The sequence below is a fragment of the Homo sapiens genome, chromosome 2 (genome assembly GCF_000001405.40).
Source record: "Homo sapiens chromosome 2, GRCh38.p14 Primary Assembly".
In the NCBI taxonomy this organism is placed as follows: domain Eukaryota; kingdom Metazoa; phylum Chordata; class Mammalia; order Primates; family Hominidae; genus Homo; species Homo sapiens.
Genome location: NC_000002.12, coordinates 202,341,959 through 202,365,349, shown reverse-complemented (window position 1 = coordinate 202,365,349; position 23,391 = coordinate 202,341,959). Strand labels below are relative to the sequence as shown.

General features: G+C 42.6%; 1 pseudogene, besides 1 other annotated feature; it reads left to right on the top strand.

Annotated features, from left to right (window-relative positions):
* Window positions 6,374-6,958: an enhancer, noted in NCBI's record as "H3K4me1 hESC enhancer chr2:203223115-203223699 (GRCh37/hg19 assembly coordinates)". NCBI's record gives its function as "activates a minimal SCP1, AML or CMV promoter by ChIP-STARR-seq in primed H9 embryonic stem cells {active_cell/tissue: H9 hESC(primed)}" and the evidence as "EXISTENCE:reporter gene assay evidence [ECO:0000049][PMID:30033119]".
* RN7SL40P (RNA, 7SL, cytoplasmic 40, pseudogene) lies at window positions 7,933-8,274 on the top strand (annotated as a pseudogene).

The window sequence follows — 23,391 nt, the reverse complement described above, 5'->3', positions numbered from 1 at the left end:
GAATTGACTTACTAAAGAAAAATTTTCAGATAACTTCTGCTCAGACCCTGAATACATTTGTTCATATTTTACATTTATAGTTTGTTTGATTAGAGTCTGAAATAATTTAAGATTTATGCATTAATAGAATAAATGAAATCAAATTCTTAAAAAATATTACAGTAGGCTGGGTGTGGTGGCTCATGCCTGTAATCCCAGCACTTCGAGAGGCTTAGACAGGAGCACCAGGAGTTGGAGACCAATCTGGGCAACATAGCGGGACTTTGTCTCTACAAAAAATGAAAAAATTAGCCGGCCATGGTGTATACCTGTGGTCCCAGCTACTCAGGAGGCTAAGGTGGGAGGATCACTTGAGCCCAGGAGGTCGAGGCTGCAGTGAGCCATGATCATGCTACTGCACTCCAGCCTAGGCAACAGAGCAAGACCCTGTCTCAAAAAAAAAAAAAAAAAATTACTCTAAGAATAGCCATGAAATTTATTCATGGCTCTCCTAAGGAAATCCTAAGGAAATACTCAGAAAGGCAGATAAAAGTGTCTATCACAGCATTGTTTATATATAGTACTAAAAATTGGAATTAATTTAAATATCTAACAATAAAAGAACAGCTGGTAAACCATGAAATATAAATAGCTTTAAATATTATAGAGCTATTAAAATGGTATTTATAGAAAATAATGTCATGGGGACATGCCCATGATATAGTATTAAATTGGAAAACCAGAATGTTAAATGTAAGTAATACATTATCCCAGCTGTATGTGTGTACAATTCTCTATAAACATATACTTAGAAAATTCTGGAAAAATATAAATCAGGCAGGAGAATCGCTTGAACCCAGGAGGTGGAGGTTGCAGTGAGCTGAGTTCGTGCCACTGCACTCCAGCCTGGGAAACAAGAGTGAAACTCTGTCTCAAAAAAAAATTGTTTTACGTTTTTTAAAAAAAAATCATGATTCTGCCTCAAAAAAAAAAAGCCAGCCAATTGAAGACACAAAACAAGGCAAATATTTGATCCTGTGTAGGCTTATATTTCTATCGTCAGGATTAGAAAAAATCATAATGAATATGAATAATATGTACTGCACATTCTATAAACCTTTGATACCTTTTCAATACTTTTTCCAGGTCTTAAGCATGTCTACATTTTTCTTACTTAGCAGGTAAGACTGTTGCATAAGCGTATGAAATAAACTGAAGTCAATAAACAAGACCTTTATGGCTGGGCGCAGTGGCTCACACCTGTAATCCCAGCACTTTGGGAGGCTGAGGCGGGCAGATCACCTGAGGTCAGGAGTTCCAGACCAGCCTGACCAACGTGGAGAAACTCCATCTCCACTAAAAATACAAAATTAGCCAGGCGTGGTGGCTCATGCCTGTAATTCCAGCTATTCAGGAGGCTGAGGCAGGAGAATCACTTGAACCCGGGAGGCAGAAGTTTCAGTGAGCTGAGATCAGGCCATTGCACTCCAGCCTGTGCAACAAGAGCTAAACTCCATCTCAAAAAAAAAAAAAAAAAAAAAAAAAGGAAACAAGACCTTATTATGGCCTTGCTTCCTAGTTTTTCTGGCTTTTGATAATATTTATCTGGCCCTTCACAGTGACCTCCAAATAACTGCACTGGACTATCTGCTTGCAGAAATTACACAAATAATTTCAAGAGCAGGATTTGTGTAATAATGAAGCTACTGTAATACTCACTCTCACAGCCTTCACCCCATGTAAGATAAGTACATATTCATCCTTTTGGAGGCCCCTGAAACACAGAAATACCCATGTCAAAACTTACTTTCTTCTTTCTTAATCTAGAATTTCTCTAGTTAAAACTGATTAGATAATTAGAGCTGAATTGTGATGGTTTTATTTTCCAAATACAAAACTAATCATGATTTAAAATTTGAACCTCTTCCACTTGAATGTATTCCTTTTCCCTTAAAATAAAAGACTGATTTTAAAACCCATGTTGCAGTAGGAAATCACATCATACAACAAATTTAGGATAAAACCTTTGTCTGGGTTTGGTCTCAACTTTTTCAAAAAAGCAAGATAAACTTCCACACTTTTTTATAGAGAAAAATACAAGTTTCAACTATAAAAATAGTGATTAGGCTGGGAATGGTGCTCACGCCTCTAATCCCAGCACTTTGGGAGGCCAGGCGGTAGATCTCTTGAGCCTAGGAGTTCGAGACCAGCCTAGGTAACATGGGGAAACCTGTCTCTACAAAAAAAAAAAAGTTAGCAGGGTGTGGTGGCATGTGCCTGTAGTCCTAGCTACTTGGGAGGTTGAGGTGGGAGGATTGCTTGAACCTGGGAGGTAGAGATTGTAGTGACCCCAGACCATACCACTGCATTCCAGCCTGGGCAACGGAGTGAAACCCTGTCTCAAATAATAATAATAATAATGATTAAAAAGAAGGCTAATCATTAGCCTCCTTTTAGGCATTTTAGGGCATGTCTCTATTTAATCCAGCATGAGACTTACTGTATGTCTGGCATTTTTTGGCATTCTTTTCTTTCAGAAGCATGACTACCTTTTACTTACTGACTCGTCCTCCTAGGGGGATTTTTTCCATTATATAGTTATCAATCTAATCAGTTTTTTCAGTGTATATCTGTCAGAGACATTGGAACCAGAGCAACTCCATCTTAAATAGGGGCTGGGTGGCTAGGTGCAGTGGCTCACGCCTGTAATCCCAGCACTTTGGGAGGAGGCCGAGGCAGGCGGATCACGAGGTCAGGAGTTCGAGACCAGCCTGACCAACATGGTGAAACCCCGTCTCTACTAAAAATACGAAAATTAGCCGGTTGTGGTGGCCCGTGCCTGTAATCTCAGCTACTCAGGAGGCTGAGGCAGGAGAATCGCTTGAACCCGAGAGGCAGAGGTTGCAGTGAGCCAAGATCACACCACTGCATGCCAGCCTGGGCGACAGTGCCAGACTCCCTCTGGAAAAAAAGAAAAAAAAGGTGGGGGGCTGGGTAAAATGATGCTGAGACCTGCTGGGCTGCATTCCCAGACGGTTAAGGCATTCTAAGTCACAGGATGAGATGAGATAGAAGGTTAGCACAAGATACAGGTCATAAAGACCTTGCTGATAAAACAGGTTGCATTAAAGAAGCCAGCTAAAACCCAACAAAACCAAAATGGTGACGACAGTGACCTCTGGTAGTCCTCACTGCTATATTCCCACCAGTGCCAGGACAGTTTACAAATGCCATGGTAATGTCAGGAAGTTACCCTATATGGTGTAAAAAGGGGAAGCATGAATAATCTACCCCTTGTTTAGCATATGATCAAGAAATAGGGCCGTCGAGGTGGCTCATGCCTGTAATCCCAGCACTTTGGGAGGTCAGGGTGGGTGGATCACGTGAGGTCAAGAGTTCGAGACCAGCCTGGCCAACATGGTGAAACCCCATCTCTACTGCAAATACAAAAATTAACTGGGCGTGGATGCGGGTGCCTGTAATCTCAGCCACTCAGGAGGCTGAAGCAAGAGAATCACTTGTCACCGGGAGGCGGAGGTTGCAGTGAGCCGAAATCATGCCACTGCACCGTAGCCTGGGCGACAGAGCGAGACTCCATCTCAGAAAAATCTATAAAAGGCCGGGCGCGGTGGCTCGTGCCTGTAATCCCCGCACTTTGGGAGGCCGAGGCGGGTGGATCACGAGGTCAGGAGATCAAGACCATCCTGGCTAACATGGTGAAACCATTTCACTTTGCAGATTCGCCCTGAATTCTTTCTTGCTGGAGATCCAAGAACCCTCTCTGGGGGTCTGGATCAGAACCCCTTTCCTATAACATGTCTACCATCCAGAAACAGACACCGTACATTTATCCTTCATAAAGTGCAGAATAAAAAATGGAACTATCAGAACTGTGAGGCTTTTTTTCCCTCCTTCAAATATTACAGAATAATCTTTCCATATGCCCAAAATCAATGTCTTTAAGAAAATGCACAAAACACAAACTATTACTAGAATGGTTTCACAGCTAAGGATTACTCATATGCATTCTGTTTGCCAAATCCTTATGTAGAACATCTGTAAGACATCTTATTTTTGTCAGGGCAAAGGGAATTTTTTTCTACGCCTTTAAAGTTTCAAGTCCGCCGAAATAAACTGACAATAGATTAATAGGAGAAAAGGCAAACAGATTTATTAACATGCAAGCGTGCACAGGAGCCATACAAAATATGAAACTCAAAGAAGGGCCAGATGGCTGAAGCTTTGTAGGGGAGAGGGAGAAGGGAGATGGAGATGGGAAAAATATAGGCAATTTTGAGAGGCAGTAAATGATTTTGGGGAGAGTTGACTGGGCCCAAAGAATAGGCAATCATTTGTAAATGATTCTATTTGAAAATTGAATGGGACCTGAAGAACAGACAATGGCTTGTGACAAAGCCTGTCTAGATGAGGTGACTTTCCTCAGTCTTCCTTCCTGCTCCGTGAGTTTCATCCTCTCTGTTTTGAAATTTCAGTGATCAAAGGCAACTATGTTCCTTCTGGAGGAGCTTCAGATAAGGGAGCTTCAGAGAATTCCACCCTGGGCTTGGGGTTGGGGAGAAACAGGAGAAAGAAAGTTCTTGGTTCTGAGGCTGCTTCTAAGGCCTTTAAATTTCCTTTAGTTCAAAATGCTCAGCGTGCCAAAGCACCATATTTTGGGGTATTGTTTTCTGAGCCCCAACATTTGCTATTGTCTTGTCTTCCTGCATCCTCCTATAAGGATTTGTTTTTTCCCCTAACGATCAACTTTGGTAACAGAAAAATGAGGACGTAGAGGAAAATCTGATGGGGTGATTAGGCTAAGTAACAATTTTCTTTCTTTTTTTTTTTTTTTTGAGACAGAGTCTCGCTCTGTCACCCAGGCTGGATAGAGTGCAGTGGCGCAATCTTGGCTCACAGCAAGCTCTGCCTCCTGGGTTCACGCCATTCGCCTGCCTCAGCCTCCCAAGTAGCTGGGACTACAGGCGCCCGCCACCACGCCCAGCTAATTTTTTGTATTTTCAGTAGAGACGCGGTTTCACCGTGTTGACCAGGATGGTCTTGAACTCCTGAACTCGTGATCTGCCCGCCTCAGTCTCCCAAAGTGCTGGGATTACAGGCGTGAGCCACCGCATCCAGCCGGGGTAAGTAACAACTTTCTAGTTAAGGGGCTAGAGAACAGCATCGTGCTTCTAGTTGTCAATTACCTTGCCTATCTCAGTATAACTAAGGACAATCCTACAGAAAGCAGCCCAATTCCTTACCTTTATGAACAAAGGTCTTCATACTCTTTCCAACCTTATCCCCCTCTTTTATCTCTTATAGTCTAGATACACTGAACCTCTTAGAGCTCTCAGAATGTATCAGGCTCTTCCCCAAACTTTACCTTCTTTCTAATTAAAGAAAAAAAGAGAGTGATTCTATCATTTCCTACTGACTATTCCCTCCACCTTCAGTGCCTTTCCCTGCCCCTTCTCCAGGCTAAAGCCAGCATAATTGTCACCTCCCAACTAGCGAATGTTAAGCATTCTCCAATTCCCCAGTCAGCATTACTTGCCTTGTCCTCTATGTTCCCAAAGAGATTTGTTCACACTCTGGAGTAGTGTAACACTCCTCTCCTATGGTTTTGGTTTGGGGAGGAAAAGAATTATGGGTGACTTTAAATATTTTCTTCTTTATTCTTTTTTATATGTTTTAATGTCCTAGAATTTATTTTTAGAAACAGGGTCTCACCTGGCTGGGTGTGGTGGCTCACACCTATAATCCCAGCACTTTGGGAGGCCGAGGCTGGTGGATCACCTGAGGTCAGGAGTTCGAGACCAGCCTGGCCAAGATGGTGAAACCCCGTCTGTACTTAAAATACAAAAAAAATTACCTGGGCGTGGTGGTATGCACCTGTAATCCCAGCTACTTGGGAGGCTGAGGCAGGAGAATTGCTTGAACCCGGGAGGCAGAGGTTGCAGTGACCCGAGATCAAGCCATTGCACTCCAGCCTGGGGGCCTGGGGGAGAAGAGCGAGGCTTCGTCTCAAAGAAAAAAAAAAAAGAGGAAAAAAGAAACAGGGTCTCAACTTGTCATCCAGGCTGGAGTGCAGTGGCGTGATCATGGCTTACTGCAGCCTTGAACTTGAACTCCTGCACTCAAGAGATCTTTCTGCCTTGGCCTCCTACAGTGTTGTTTTGTTTTGTTTTGTTTTCTGAAACAGAGTCTTGCTGTCTTGCCCAGGCTAGATTGTAGTGGCGGCAATCTCGGCTCACTGCAACCTCTGCCTCCCAGGTTCAAGCAATTCTCCTGCCTCAGCCTCTCGAGTAGCTGGGATTACAGGCCCCTGCCACCACGCCCGGCTAATTTTTGCATTTTTAGTAGAGACAGGGTTTCACCATCTTGGCCAGGCTGGTCTCAAACTCCTCACCTCGTGATCCACCCGCCTCAGCCTCCCAAACTGCTGGGATTACAGGGTGAGTCACAGAGCCGGCCTGCTTTTTTTTTAGACGGAGTTTCTCTCTTGTCGCCTAGGCTGGAGTGTGATGGCGCGATCTCGGCTCACTGCAACCTCTGCCTCCCGAGTTCACGTGATTCTCCTGCCTCAGCCTTCTGAGTAGCTGGGATTACAGGCGCCCGCCACCATGTCCGGCTAATTTTTCATTTTTAGTAGAGACGGAGTTTTGCCATGTTGGTCAGGCTGGTCTCAAACTCCCGACCTCAGTTGATCTCCCGCCTCAGCCTCCCAAAGTGCTGGGATTACAGGCATGAGCCACTGCGCCTAGCCTCAGAACAAAAATTATACTCAAGGTAAGGAAATACAGAAAAAAAAATTATGTAAACTCATTGTTCATTATAAAAATCCAAATTACTTCACAGATGACACTTTATTATCAGCACTAAATCCTAACCCTAATATTTATTGAAGCCTCCAGGATATGTTAATATTCTATTTAGTACTCTGGTTTATCATACATTAGGTTTGCAATGTCTTTTTTCAAAGAATCATATTGTATCATTCTAGTAAGACTCCTCAGGCGCTTGGTGGAATAGAGAGTGTTTAAATAAGCCATTCCAGGAACCAGAATTTTGATTGTCCCTAGTGGATTCCACAAGATTAACATATTTAGCTGCAATGGGAATGCTTCCTTAGAGCAAGACTTTATGAAGACAGCAAAAATGACTAACCAAGTGTCTAAAATCTGCAGTATAAAAGAGCTCTCAGCTGGGCGCGGTGGCTCACGCTCACGCCTATAATCCTAGCACTTCGGGAGACCGAGGCGGGCAGATCACCTGAGATCAGGAGTTTGAGACCAGCCTGGCCCACATGGTGAAACCCCATCTTCACTAAAAATACAAAAATTAGCCGGGCGTGGTGGCAGACGCCTGTAATCCCAGCTACTCGGGAGGCTGAAGCAGGAGAATCACTTGAACCCAGGAGGCAGAGGTTGCAGTAAACCGAAGTCATGCCATTGCACTCCAGCCTGGGCTACAAAGCAAGACTCCGTCTCAAAAAAAAAAAAAAAAAAAAAAAAAAAAAATGCCGGGCGCGGTGGCTCACGCCTGTAATCCCAGCACATTGGGAGGCCGAGGCGGGCAGATCACGAGGTCAGGAGATTGAGACCATCCTGGCTAACACAGAGAAACCCCATCTCTACTAAAAATACAAAAACTTAGCCGGGCGTGATGGCGGGCACCTGTAGTCCCAGCTACTCGGGACACTAAGACAGCAGAATGGCGTGACCCCAGGAGGCGGAGCTTGCAGTGAGCCGAGATTGTGACACTGCACTCTAGCCTGGGCGACAGAGCGAGACTCCATCTCAAAAAAAAAAAAAAAAAAAAAAAAAAAAAAAAAAAAAAAAAGCTCTCATTTGCAGTCCACACAAACATGTCTATATGCAACATAAACAATATGCAGAAGGTTATGATATTTTGATATTTATTTTCATTTTTCTCTTCATTATAGAACGGTGAGCTGGATGTGGTGGTGCATGCCTGTAAGTTCCAGCTACTCAGGAGGCTGAGGCAGGAGGATGGATGAGCACAGGAGTTCTGGGCTGTAGTGTGTGCTATGCCGATCAGGTGTCAGCATAAGTTCCACATCAGTATGGTGACCACCTAGAAGCAGGGATCACCAGTTTACCTAAGGAGGGGTGAACCGGCCCAGGTCAGAAATGGAGCAGGTCAAAAACTCCCTGCTAGGCTGGGCGCTGTGGCTCACGCCTGTAATCCCAGTACTTTGGGAGGCCAAGGCCGGCAGATCACGAGGTCAAGAGATCGAGACCATCCTGGCCAACATGGTGAAATCTTGTCTCTACTAAAAATATAAAAATTAGCTAGGTGTGGTGGCAGGCGCCTGAAATCCCAGCTACTGGGGAGGCCGAGACAGGAGAATCGCTTGAACCCGGGAGATGGAGTTTCCGCAATGAGCTGAGATCACGCCACTGCACTCCAGCCTGGGCCACAGAGCGAGACTTCGTCTCAAAAAAAAAAAACAAAACCCTGCTGATCAGTAGTGGTATTGTGTCTGTGAATACCCATTGCACTCCAGCCTGGGCAACATAGTGAGACTCTGTCTCTAAAAATAAAAAATAAAATAAAAAAGGAAAAAGGAAAAGAACTGTGAAAGCCCTTAGCCATACATGGTTAAGTTGTGTTTTCTATTTTAATTTCTCTTCTTGTATGGTCCATTGATTATTTTCTTTCATGTGTCCTGTTCTCTTGTACCATGCAGGTCTGGCTATGGTGCAAGGTGACTTCTGAGGTCAGTTCCTTTATTACTATTTGCAAAAACAGTGATACATTGTCAACCTGTAATTTCCAAATGATTACTTCAAATAAAGATTTTATGAATTGCATTGTTGAAGAGTCTTGGGCAGTGCTCTGCAAAAGGTCCCAGTTTTACTTAGTACTGGGAAATTGTCTTCCTTCTGTTTGTTCTGTTCTGCAAGCTCTGCTCTAAGGCCAGCACCTCTTACTCAGCTGTCTTCATGTTTGATGTGATCAGTGTTTTCTGTACTGTGGTGACTGGTGAGAGATATAACTTGTATACTTTGACTTTTTCCACCTTGCACAAAAACTCCATTGTATTATCTCTGTAACGTTAGTTTAAACCTTCTTGTTTGTATCCCCACAGGGGTTTTGCTGTTAAGCCATTTTAATCTACATGAGGCCTGCAACAGTATTTATAGCATTGTGTTGCAAAACATCTCCTTAGGAAGAGAGATGGTGAATTCCTTAAGGTCTCCAACTGTAGCCCAAATATTTAGTCTAAGTCAGACATATATTAGGTCCTCAATAAATGCAGAACTTATTTGAAAAACAATAATCTAATATAAAACATACTTTCTAAGGAGCAGAGAAGCATCAGGAGAAATTCTCAAATGAGTTGAATATATGAATAGAATTTCCTGAACTAAAAGTGAAAATCCAACTTAAAAATGGACAAATGGGGCCAGGCACAGTGGCTCATCCTTGTAATCCCAGCACTTTGGGAAGCTGAGGTGGGAGGATCGCTTGAGCCCAGGAGTTCCAGGCTGCAGTGAGCTATGATCACACTGTACTCCAACCTGGGCAACAAGGTAAGGCCTGGTTTCTAAAAAATAAAAAATAAAGATAAAATGAACAAAATATCTGAATAGACATTTCTCTAAAGAAGGATATACAAATGGCCGATAAACACATAAAAAAAGATGCTCAACATCCTTAGCCATTAGGAAAATCAAAACTATAATGAGATGCCACTTTACACTCATTAAGACGGCTAAAGTAAGGCCGGGCGTGGTGGCTCACGCCTGTAATCCCACCACTTTGGGAGGCTAAGGCAGCAGGATCACCTGAGGTCGGGAGTTTGAGACCAGCCTGACCAACATGGTGAAACCTCGTCTCTACCAAAAAATACAAAATTAGCCAGGCATGGTGTCGCATGACTGTAATTCCAGCTACTCCGGAGGCTGAGGCAGGAGAATCGCTTGAACCCAGGAGGCGGAGGTTGTGGTGAGCCCACATTGTGCCATTATACTCCAGCCTGGGCAACAAGAGTGAAACTCTGTCTCAATTTAAAAAAAAAAAAAAGGCTAAAGTAGACAGAAGAAAGTATGGACAAGGATGTGGATAAATTAGAACCCTGACACATTGCTGTTGGGAATGCAAAATGGTGCAGCTGCTTTGGAAAGCAGTTTGACAGTTCTTCAAAAGTTAAGCATGCTGGCACACACTTGTAGACCCAGCTACTTGGGAGGCTAGTGTGGGAGGACTGCTTGAGCCCAGGAGCTTCAGGCTGCAGTAAGCATCATGGCACCTGCCATGATGCCTGAGAATAACCACTGCTCTCCACCCTGAACAACATAGCTAGATCCCCGTGATGGTTAATATTAAGTGTCAACTTGATTGGATTGAAGGATGCAAAGCATTGTTCCTGGGCGTGTCAGTGAGGGTGTTGCCAAAGGAAATTAACATTAGAGTCAGTGGACTGGGAGAGGCAGACCCACCCTCAATCTGGGTAGGCACCATCTAATCAACTGCCAGCGGGACTAGAATAAAGGAGGCCGAAGAAGGTGGGAGAAGCAGACTTGCTGAGTCTTCTGGCCTTTATCTTTCTCCCATGCTGGATGTTTCCTGCCCTCAAACATCAGACTCTACGTTGTTCAGCTTTTGGACTCTTAGATTTACACCAGTGTTTTGCCAGGGGCTCTCAGGCCTTCGGCCACAGACTGAAGGCTGCACTGTTGGCTTCCCTACTTTTGAGGTTTTGGAACTTGGGCTTCCTTGCTTCTCAACTTGCAGGTGGCCTATCATGGGACTTCACCTTGTGATTGTGTCAGTCAACTCTCCCTAATAAACTCCCCTTCATATATACATCTGTCCTATTAGTTCTGCCCCTTTAGAGAATCCTAATACAACCTCATCTTTAAAAAAATTTTCTTGGCCGGGTGCAGTGACTCATGCCCGTAATCCCAGCACTCTGGGAGGCTGAGGTGGGCGGATCACCTGAGGTTGGGAGTTCAAGACCAGCCTGACCAACTTGGAGAAACCCTGTCTCTACTAAAAATACAAAATTAGCCAGGTATGGTGGCACATGCCTGTAATCCCAGCTACTCGGGAGGCTGGGGCAGGGGAATCACTTGAAACCGTGAGGCAGAGAATGCAGTGAGCCGAGATCGTGCCATTGCACTCCAGCCTGGGCAAAACTCCATCTCAAAAAAACAAAACAAAACAAAACAGAAAAACCTTTCAGGGGTACATTAGGCAAGAGACAGAGAGCTATGATAACAGGAGATTTTTATATAATAATAGTGTAACTGCACTCTTGCTGAGACAAAATCCATTTGGCAATGGGCTTGTTTTAATTTTTCTCAAGAACTGCCAGCCAGTAATGCTATATCACTCAATCCTATGCAACAGTTACAGCAACCACGATGATGAAACGGATAATCAATGGTAAAGAATCCATTAGAGTGCCAAAGCTGGTCTCTATATCACAAAGGATTTCAGCATTAGGGCTAGAGAAAGAAAAATTAATGAGGTTGGACTGGAAAACAAATGAGAAGAGAGCAGTGAGTAAAGGGTTACTAGGATATACTTAGAAAATCAGTTGATGTCTGTAACCACATTTTTTTAAATGTCCCTACAAGAATGAATTTATTTTTAATTAAAAAAAATTTTCTTTTGGAGACAGGGTCTTGCAACTAAGTTCCTCAGGCTGACCTTAACTCCTTCGCTCCTAAGGAATCCTCCTGCCTCAGCCTCCGGAATAGCTGGGACTACAAGTGCCTGACAATCCTGGCTGCAAGCATTTTTGCAGATAACATCACAGCAGGAACAGGAAGGTACTTGCCTTCCAGAAGAGTTTCAGAGGATGGATTTTTACAACTTATTTTAACAATTAGTAAAGAGGCATTTATTTAACTTTCACAGATTACAAAGCACTGTCACATCTTTCTACACTGGAGCCTCCTGAGAGGGGGCTAAAGCAGGTATTAGTTGTCTCATCATCACTATCATAAAAAATGACCTTTATTGAATTCTTTTTTTCTTTCATTCTTCTCTTTTTTTAGAGATAGGGTCTTGATACATTGCTCTTGCCCTGGCTGGTCTTGAACTCCTGGGTTCAAGAGATCCTCCTGCTCTGGCCTCCTAAAGTGCTGAGATTACAGGCGTGAGTCATTGTGCCCAGCCTGAATTCTTATATCCCAGGCAAAAAAGAATGTTTTGACCCTACCATGTTAACCCAATGAATGTTTTGACTGAATCAGAGGAAAAACTCAAATTTCATAGAAATAACAGCTATGAAAGAAGGTTCACAATAGCAGTAGTTAAAATGGACAGAGTTTGATGAGGATAAAAACCTAATGACTAAAATACCCAGCATAAAGGTGCATGCCTATAGTCCCAGCTACTTTTGGAGGCTGAAGCAGGAGGCTCCCTTGAGGCCAGGAATTCGAGGCTGTTCTGCACTATGATGGTGCCTGTGAGTGACATCCATCTCTAAATTACAAAAAAAAAGACCTAATGACTGAAATGAATCTAATTTTTAAATGCACATGGAAAAATTTTATCCTGAGCATAATTTTGGTAAAATAAAAATTAGAATAGAGGCTGGGTGCTGTGGCTCTTGCTTATAGTCCCAGCACTTTGGGAGGCCGAGGAAGGACCTTGAGGTCAGGAGTTTGAGACCAGCCTGACCAACATGGTGAAACCCCATCTCTACTAAAAATACAAAAATTAGCCGGGCGTGGTGCATGCCTGTAATCCCAGCTACTTGGGAGGCTGAGGTGGGAGAATTGCTTGAACCTGGGAGGTGGAGGTTGGAATGAGCTGAGGGCAGTCCACTGCACTCCAGCCTGGGCAACAGAGTGAGACTCTGTCTCGAAAAAAAAAAATGAGAATAGAAAAAAAATTGGAAATAGTTTCACTGTACTGCAGAGAAATTTCATCAAGAATTAAACTGGTTATAACAATAGTTTACATGGGTATATTCACAAATACAGGGTTCAAAATGGCAGGTCAAAATCACATATCTGATTCAAGTTCAGGGTACAAAAAATGAGGTGAAAATAGCAAGATCAAAATGGCATTATTGACTTGATGTTTAGAATCCTGCCTAACTTCTCACCTTCTATGTAATGTTAAATAAGTCTCACTATTGGGCTGTTTGTCTGTAAAATGAGAAATATAATGGCTGAAACTACCTCACCATGTTGTGGATTGAATGAGATAATGTATATAAAGTGGTTAGCATAGTGTGTGGCACCAGTGAAAGACATTTCAACCCTGCCTGTTTCAAAAATGTATCATACTCTCACAGTGTGCCAGGACAGGATCTTTAAAAATAGGTCTCCTAGTCACTAAACCACATTAATTATCTGTAAGTACATTTCTAATAATTAAAGAAATATTCAAAGCAGATCTCAGATGAAGCTACTGCAGAGCTACTCTGATTATTTCTATATTTTAAAATATATTTTAATTTAGAAAACATTGCCCTGGCGGGGCGTGGTGGCTCACATCTGTAATCCCAACACTTTGGGAGGCCAGGGCAGGAGAATCATTTGAACTCAGGAGTTCCAGACTTTTGTGGGCAACATGGTAAAACCCCATCTCTACAGAAAAATACAAAAATTAGCCAGGTGTGGCAGCCTGTGCCTATAGTCCCAGCTACTCAGGAGGCTGAGGCAGGAGGATGACTTGAGCGTGGGCAGTCGAGGCTGCAGTGAGTCCTGTTCATGCTGCTGTGCTCCAGTGTGGGTGACAGAGCAAGACCCTGTCTCAAAAAAAGGAAAAAAAGAAAAAAGAAAAAAGGAAAGAAAATGTTGTCCCAATCAACTATTCGGGTATAGAGTAAATTAAAAATGCTAAAGATTGTTTAGAAAGTCCAAAAAATAAAAATACTGTCCTCGTGTTTTAAAAATATTTGACATATGGCTGGGCGCAGTGGCTCACGCCTGTAATTCCATCACTGTGGGAGGCCGAGGCGGGTGGATCACCTGAAGTCAGGCATTTGAGACCAGCCTGGCCAACATGGTGAAACCCCTCCTCTACTAAAAATACAAAAATTAGCAGGGCATGGTAGCACATCCCAGCTACTCTGGAGGACGCTGCAGTGAGCCAAGATCATGCCATTGCACTCCAGCCTGGGTGACAGAGTAAGACTCTGTGTCAAAAAAAAAAAAAAAATTGACATGTAAATAGCTATTTTTGTTTGGTTTATTGACCCAACAATTGCTTTATCACTTCTCAAGGAAAAAAAAGTGGCCAATGAAGCAATAACAGTCTTAGTTTCAACAATAATGGAGCACAGAATACCAGGAAACCATTTAGCCTGTCAGTCCTCTCATGTGAAAATAGATATGAAAAAATACACACACTTCACAGAGTTATTATGAGAACTAATTATTGCCCTTAAACTGCTTTGAAATTCCCATGTGAAAGACACTTAACCTGATCTTTATCTAGAAGCAGGTAGCTAAGGCATATATATATATGGGAAGACAACATTCATCCAAAAGTTAAAATAGGCTCTTGCTTGTGTAACTTGAATTTCTACTTGGCAAGAATGTAATTTAGCAGAGGGAATGCTATTATATAATTTTTTAAATACATGTTTCAAAAGATATAATATTCATTCTTTTTCATGATTTCATCCTCACATAGTATCTACATAGCAACAATAGTTACACAAAGTGCTCAATTCAGTATTCACACATATATAGCATATCAAATACTTTTGTATCATCATGCTATTATTATTATTATTATTATTATTATTATTTTGAGATGGAGTTTCGCTCTTGCTGCCCAGGGTGGAGCGCAATGGCGCGATCTTGGCTCATGCAACCTCTGCCTCCCAGGTTCAAGCAATTCTCCTGCCTCAGCCACTACGCCTGGCTAATTTTGTGTGTGTGGTTTTTTTTTTTTAGTAGAGACGGGATTTCTCCATGTTGGTCATGCTGGTCTCAAACTCCCGACCTCAGGTGATCCGCCCGCCTCAGCCTCCCAAAGTGCTGGGATTACAGGCGTGAGCCACCGCACCTGGCCTGTTTTGGTTTTAATTTGCATTTTTTAAAGTGATGTACGGGCATTTCTCTCTCTTAAACATTTGTAGAAGCCAGGCATGGTGGTGAGCCTGCAGTCTAGAGGATCCCTTGAGAGCAGGAGTGAGAGGCTGTGTTTTTATGGAGTCCAACATATCAGTCTTTTATGGCTTCTCGGTTATGTGTTCAGAGAGCCCTTCTTCATTCAAGACAATTGTTATGACAGCTTTATTGAGATATAATTCATATTTCATAAGATTCGCCTTTTTGAAGTACACATTTCAGTGGTTTTTATATAATCTATAATTCAATCTTCACCACTACTTAATTTTAGAACACTTCATTACTGCAAAAAGGAACCCCTTACCCATTAGCAATCACTCCCCAGTGCCCCCTCCCTCTAGCCCCTGACAATCATCAACCTACTTCTGTCTCTATGGATTTGCCTACCCTGGACATTTTATATAGATGGAATTACACAATAAATGGCCGCTTGTGATTGGCTTCTCTCACTTTGCATGTTTCAAGGTTCATCCATTTTGCGGCATGTATCAATCCTTAATTCTTTTTTCTTTTTTTTTTTTGACACCGAGTCTCTGTTGCCCAGGCTGGAGTGGAGTGGCGCAATCTCAGTTCACTGCAACCTCCACCTCCCAGGTTCAAGTGATTCTCCTGCCTCAGCCTCCCACGTAGCTGGGATTCCAGGCACCTGCCACCATGCCCAGCTAATTTTTGTATTTTTAGTAGAGACGAGGTTTCAATTATGTTGGCCAGGCTGGTCTTGAACTCCTGACCTCGTGATTCACCCGTCTCAGCCTCCCAAAGTGCTGGGATTACAGGCATGAGCCACTGTGCCCGGCCACTTAATTCTTTTTTATGATTGAATAATATCATTTATCCATCTATCCATTGATGGTCAATTGTTTTTTTCCCACTTTTTAGCTATTATAAATAATGTTGCTATAAACATTTGTATACGAGTTTTTATTTGAACACCTGTTTTTAGTTCTTTAGGGCGTATACCTAGAAGCAGTATTTTTGGCTTATCTGGTAATTCTGTTTGACATTTCAAGGAACTTCCTGTTTTCCGAAGGAGCCATACCATTTTACAATTTCATCAGCAATATATAAAAGTTCCAATTTCTCCATATCTTTCTTAACACTTGTTATTGTGTATCATTTTTATTTTAACCACCGTAGTGGGTATGAATGGGGATCTCACTGTGGCTTTGATTTACGTGTCCCTAATGGTTAATGATGTTAAGCATCATTTCATGTGCTTATTGGCCATTTGTATATCTTCTTTGGAGAAACGTTATTTCTTTATTGGCCAGGCGTGGTGTCTCATACCTGTAATCCCAGCACTTTGGGAGGCCGAGGCAGGCAGATAACTTGAGGCCAGGTGTTTGAGACCAGCCTGGCCAACATGGTGAAACCTCGTCTCTACTAAAAATACAAAAATTAACCAGACATTGTGGTGCATGCCTGTAGTCCCAGCTACTTGGGAGGCCGAGGCAGGAGAATTGCTTGAACCCCAGTGGTAGAGGTTGCAGCAGTGAGCCAAGATCGTGCCACTGCACTCCAGCCTGGGTGACAGAGTGAGACTTCATTTAAAAAAAACAAAACAAAAAAACTTATAACTTAACACTGTTGTCATTAAATAATTAACTGTGATTAGATTATAATGAACATAACAGGCACTCAAATACTTGTTTAATAAAAAAAGAATGAATGAAAGAGAATAAAGCAGAGAGACTTTTTTTGGCTGCTGTTTACCAAAAAAACCTAAGTGAGAACTGATAAAGGTCTGAGTTAAGGCTGAAAGGATGGATTCTCAGATACTTGGGGAGTAGAATCTACTCCTCTTGCATTATTAAAACCTGTAGGTCAACTTTGTCCAATTTACAATGCCCTCAGGACCAAAGCAGCTCCCTCATTCATAGTGATAAATTTTTATGTTCCAGGTATTGTTCTAAGTACTTCACATGTATAACTCATTTAACACTCACAGCAACTTTTCAATCCATCCTGTTGACCAGAATTAAATTAAATGGGGTTTCTATGGCCAAAGAAGGGAACAGTAGATATTTGGACTACCAGACTCAACCACAGGCCAGCAGCCTTGTGTTTCCTTGTGTCTTAGTCTTTGCTCTTACTTTGGAAATTAAACTCAAAGTTAGCTGGAAAACAATTTCAGGGAAAAAGGTCCACACATATTGTATAGGCGGCTGACTAAACATTAAGTAAAGTCAATGAGCCTGGTGTGTGTGTATAAGCAGGCATGTGATGAGAAGGGTAATATATACTTGGTTTTCTAGTTACCATTGTTGCTCAACAAACTATCCCAAATCTTTGTGTCTTAAAATAATAATAATCATTTATTTTGCTCACAAATCTGTAATTGGAGGAGGGTTCAATAGGGATGGCTTATATATGCTCTAAGATGTCTAGAGACTCAGCTAGGAAGACTTCAGGGCTGAGGGTGACTTGGCAGCTGGGACTTGAATTGTCTGAAGACTTGCTCACTCACATGTCTGGTGGTCGATACTGCCCCTCAGACTGGACCTCAGTTTGTGCTGTCATGTGGCTTTTCCATGGAGTTGTTTGGATTTCCTTTCATCATAATGGCTAAGTTCTGAAAGTGAGCATGCCAAGAGGCCAAGATGGAGGCCGAGTGACATTTTCATAATCTAGCCTTGCAACTCATGTAGAGTCATGATGCGGTCACAAAGACCCTCAAAGTTCAAGGAAAGGAGACAAAAATACCACCACTCAATAAGCAGTTCAAAAAACTGGGAAATATGTTTTAAAATCACCAACATTTAGTGTATACATATACACAGCAGCCTCAAATCCCTTTTTTGGCCCCCTATTAATGGTTCAGTACAGAAAAATGGTCTCCAGACTGTGGTAGCCACTATGAAGTCTGGATTCTTTTTTTTTTTTTTTTTTTGAGACGGAGTCTCGCTCTGTTGCCCAGGCTGGAGTGCAGTGGCGCCATCTCGGCTCACTGCAAGCTCCACCTCCCGGGTTCCCACCATTCTCCTGCCTCAGCCTGGGCCCTGAAGTTAGATCACCTGAATTAAAGTCTCAGTTCTGTCATTTTCTAGTTTTGTGACCTTGAAAAATTCAGTTAGCCTGTTTTAAGTTTTGTTTTCTTTGTTTGTTTGTTTTGTTTTGTTTTGTTTTTGGAGACAAGTTCTTGCCCTGTTGTCCCAGCTGGAGTGCAGTGGCATGATCACTCACTGCAGTCTCAACCTCCCAGACTCAAGTGATGCTCCCACCTCAGCATCCCAAGTAGCTGGGACTCCAGGTATGAGCCACCACGTCTGGCTAATTTTGAATTTTTTTTTTTTTTTAGAAAGAACATCTTACTACATTGCCTAGGCCGGTCTCAAACTCCTGGGCTCAAGCAGTCCTTCCATCTCAGCCTCCCAAACTGTTGGGATTACAGGCATGAACTACCATGCCCTGCTGCTTAAAGTTCTTTATATGAAAAGTAGAGATAATGGGCTGGGCGCAGTGGCTCATGCCTGTAATCCCAGCACTCTGGGAGGCCGAGGCGGGTGGATCACGAGGTCAGGGGTTTGAGACCAGCCTGACCAACATGGCGAAATCCCATGTCTACTAAAAATACAAAATTAGCCAGGCGTAGTGGCAGGCACCTGTAATCCCAGCTACTCAGGAGGCTGAGGCAAGAGAATCGCTTGAACCCAGGAAGCGGAGGTTGCAGTGAGCTGAGATCACTCCATTGCACTGCAGCTTGGGCAACAAGAGTGAAACTTTGTTTCAAAAAAATGAAAAAAAAAAAAAACCTAGATGTGGTGGTGGGCGCCTATAATCCCAGCTACTCAGGAGCCTGAGGCACAAGAATCATTTGAACCTAGGAGGTGGAAGTTGCAGTGAGCCGAAATTGTGGCACTGCACTTCAGCCTGGGCAACACAGTGAGACTCTAGCTCAAAAAACAAAACAAAACAAAAAAAACTAAGGCGAGCTCAGGGAGGACAGAAACCTCCCGTGGAGCAGAAGGGCAAAAGCTCGCTTGATGTTGATTTTTAGTACGAATACAGACCGTGAAAGCAGAGCCTCATGAAAAAAAAGAAAAAAAGAAAAACAAAGTAGAGATAAACATTATCTTCCTCATGGGCTTATAATAAAGGTTAAATTAATTAATACATGTAAAACATTTAAAAGAGTGCCTGGCATGTAGTAGAATTACTTAATAGATGTTAGTCATTATTATCAAGGCTTCTTAATTTGGAATGTATAGAGGAGCTTGAATGCTCTGAAAATATTTTAAATATGTTAAATAGATTACTTTAAATATCTATTATCTTTATTTTAAAATAGTCTGGCCTGGACTGGAAGGAAACACACCAATAAATATTAATAAGAGTTATCGTGAAATATTATTTGTTCATTGGTTATTTTAAATTTTATAGTTTAAATTTTCTGTACTTTCCAAATGTTTGGTAATCTCCAATCTTACTTTTATAATCAGAAGTTTTAAATATTTTAAGGACAGAAAAAAGAAATCTCACAGATATTGAGACACTTTATTTAAAATGACTACATCTGAGAAAATGAATCAAATATCATCATACTTCTCTACTTTAACACCAAGTGCCAAAATACAGTGAAGTAACATCTGCGAAGTTTGAGGGAAAATGATTGTGACCCAAGAATCCTGTACCCAGTTAAGCTGTACTTCACATGCAGTCTGACAGAAAGTACTGTCACACCTTCTCCATTCATTCAAGGACCCAGAAAATATAAGCAGGTGTTTTCTATAAAGTGTACCCATGTACACTTTATAGAAAAATATTATTCAGAGAAGTACTCTAGCAGACCTCCTAATTTGGAGGTTAAGTTAAATAATTTTTTAACTTAAAAAACACTTGAGGTGGGTCGTGGTGGCTCATGCCTGTAATAATGCCAGCACTTTGGGAGGCTGAGGTGGGAGGATAACTTGAGGCCAGGAATTCAAGGCTGCAGTGAGCTATGATCATGGTACTCCATTCTGGCCTGGGTGACAGAGTGAGACCCTGTCTGCAATAAAGCAAACAAACAAAAACCCTTGAACAGGAAAAGCTATAATAAAATAAATGGAAGTAAACAATGATCAATGCCAGGCACGGTGGCTCAGGCCTATAATCCCAGCACTTTGGGAAGCCAAGGCAGGAGGATCGCTTGGGTCCAGGAGTTCCAGACTAGCCTGAGCAGCACAGCAAAAATCTCTACCAAAAAAAAAAAAAACCCAGGCCGGGTTTAGTGGCTCACCCCTGTAATCCCAGCACTTTGGGAGGCTGAGGCGGGTGGATCACCTGAGGTCAGGAGATCAAGACCACCCTGGCCAACATGCTGAAACCCTGTCTCTACTAAAATACAAAAATTAGCCGGGCATGGTCGTGGGCGCCTGTAGTCTCAGCTATTTGGGAGTCTGAGGAAGGAGAACTGCTTGAACCCAGGAGGTGGAGATTGCAGTGAGCCAAGATTGCGCCACTGCACTCCAGCCTGGCAACAGAACAAGACTCTGTCTAAAAATAAATAAATAAATAAATAAATTAGCCAGGTATGGTGTCACATGCCTGTAGTCACAGCTACTCAGGAGGCTGAAGTAGGAGGATCATTTGAACCCAGGAGGTCGAGGCTGCAGTGAGCCATGATCATGCCACTGCACTCCAGCCTGGGTGACAGAGTAAGACTGTCTCAAAAAAAGAAAAGAAAAAAGAAAACAATAATCAAGTAATACAGAGTTTAACCCAAATAAGGTATAATAAAAAAAAATCAACTAAGTTTCCCTACTTATTTACTCAAAGTTTCTTGAGAAAAAGAAACAAGATAACAAAGAAGGAAACGAGGACTCCTTTGCTGTCTGCTAGGCATTTTTCAGTGAAGCTCCTTCTCAGCAAATAACACCCACTCACTCACTTAAGAAATTTTCATCATAAAGCAGAGGTGGGAAGAGATCAGCCCTCAGGTGTTTGGGCTGCACTACAGCTGCTGATCAACTGCCTTTAGTGACTCAAGCCAAGTTATAAACAAAGGGTGAACCTCAATGTCTGTGCAGGACTCAACTTGATAGGAAATCAAGGGAATTCAAAAACAATCATCCAACATTACATGGTTTGACCCTTTGGTTTTCAGAAAGCTGTAATTTTTCACAATCTTTGCCTGGAACTTTCTGTTATGGGCTATATCCCTTGCTGTGAATTCTTTTAAAAGTCTCTCATTGTCACCCTGAGGGTTAATTTGTTCCAGAAGAACAAAGAAAATAATGCTAGACTTCATCAGGATGCCCAGATTCTAGTCCAGCTCTGCTAATTAGGAGAGTGATCCTTGGATTAGTGATCAAAATATTTTTGAGTCGAAGTGTCTTTATCTCTCATAACTTCAGTCAGGGTCAAATAAATTAATGAATGCAAAAATGTCCACTGAACATTCTAAAATGCTATATGATATGGTTTGGCTCTGTGTCCTCACCCAAATCTTATGTTGAATTATGACCTTCAGTGTTGGAGGAGGCTTCTGGTGGGAGGTGATTGGATTGCGGTGTGATTGGATCATATTTCTTTTTCTTTTTTCTTTTTTTCTTTTTTTTTTTTTTTGAGACACAGTCTCACTCTGTCGCCCAGGCTGGAGTGCAGTGGCGCGATCTCGGCTCACTGCAAGCTCCTCCTCCCGGGTTCCCGCCATTCTCCTGCCTCAGCCTCCCGAGTAGCTGGGACTACAGGCGCCCGCCACCACACCCGGCTCATTTTTTGTATTTTTTAGTAGAGACGGGGTTTCACCATGTTAGCCAGGATGGTCTCGATCTCCTGACCTAGTGATCCGCACATCTCGGCCTCCCAAAGTGCTGGGATTACAGGCGTGAGCCACCGTGCCTGGCCAGTTTCAGGTAGTTCTTTATAAGTAGTGTGAGAATAGACTAATACACTACATAAATGTAAAATACTATTGTTACTTTTTTACTTTGGAATCATCATTATTAAAACAGTCTTGATAGCTTGACAACCTTTGTTTACCCTTAAGATTAGTATCCATGTCAGTTTCATCATCATCACGTGTTGAACAAGTGCCAGCCATTTTGGGAGCTTTAAGCCAAATCTTCCCTTAGATAAACAGAGTTATCTTTCCCACTTCCACCCCACTCTTCTTTCCCAAAACCTGCAACCCAAGAGTCTTATGCTATCTTGCAACCTTCAATCAATCAGTAAAGTGAGCCAATACAATAAATTTATATGAAGATTTAGTGTTATCCCTAATGTGTTATTCTTAACTGGAATATTACTTTTTTTTTTTTTTTTTTTTTTGAGACAGAGTCTCGCTTTGCTCTGTCAGCAGGCTGGAGTGCAGTGGCGCGATCTCGGCTCACTGCAACCTCCACCTCCTGGGTTCAAACGATTCCCCTGCCTCAGCCTCCCGAGTAGCTGGGACTACAGGCATGTGCCACCACGCCCAGCTAATTTTTGTATTTTTAGTAGAGATGAGGTTTCACCATGTTGGCCAGGATGGTCTCAATCTCTTGAGATCCGCCCGCCTCAGCTTCCCAAAGTGTCGGGATTACAGGCATGAGCCACCACTCCCGGCCATCCTTAACTGGAATACTTCTATTTCAAAAAGAAATTTTATAATTAAATAAAGTTCATGCTATTCCCTCCACCTGAGAAAACCTTTTTGTTTTCACCTGGCAAAATTCTAACCATCCTTCAAATCCCAGTTATCCTGCAATCTTCCCAGTGAAACCTTTCTAGACTTGTTTAAGAAAGTTGCCATTCCCTCCTATGGATCTCCACTCCCCTTTGCACATATCTTTGTTTTTTTTTTCTGTTTGTTTGTTTGTTTTTTGTTTTGTTTTTTGAGACGGAGTCTTGTTCTGTTGCCCAGGCTGGAGTGCAGTGGGGAGATCTTCGCTCACTGCAGGCTCCGCCTCCCAGGTTCACGCCATTCTCCTGCCTCAGCTTCTCGAGTAGCTGGGACTACAGGCGCCCACCACCATGCCCGGCTAATTTTTTGTATTTTTAGTAGAGACGGGGTTTCACCGTCTTAGCCAGGATGGTCTTGATCTCCTGACCTCGTGATGCACCTGCCTCGGCCTCGGGGGATTACAGGCTTCAGCCACAGCGCCCAGCCGCACATATCTCTTATACTTACCAATTTAAGGGTTAACATATATGTTATGATGGGAAAATATTATATATGGAATAGCAGCCCCAGTATTCCTGGGGGTGAAGGGAGTAGGAGGGTTTGAAGGGGAGACCTTGAGAAGCCTGAGTGCAGACAGAACTGTTTTTTGTTTTTTTTGTTTTTGTTTTTGTTTTTTTGAGACGGAGTCTTGCTCTGTCGCCCAGGCTGGAGTGCAGTGGCGCGATCTCGGCTCACTGCAAGCTCCGCCTCCTG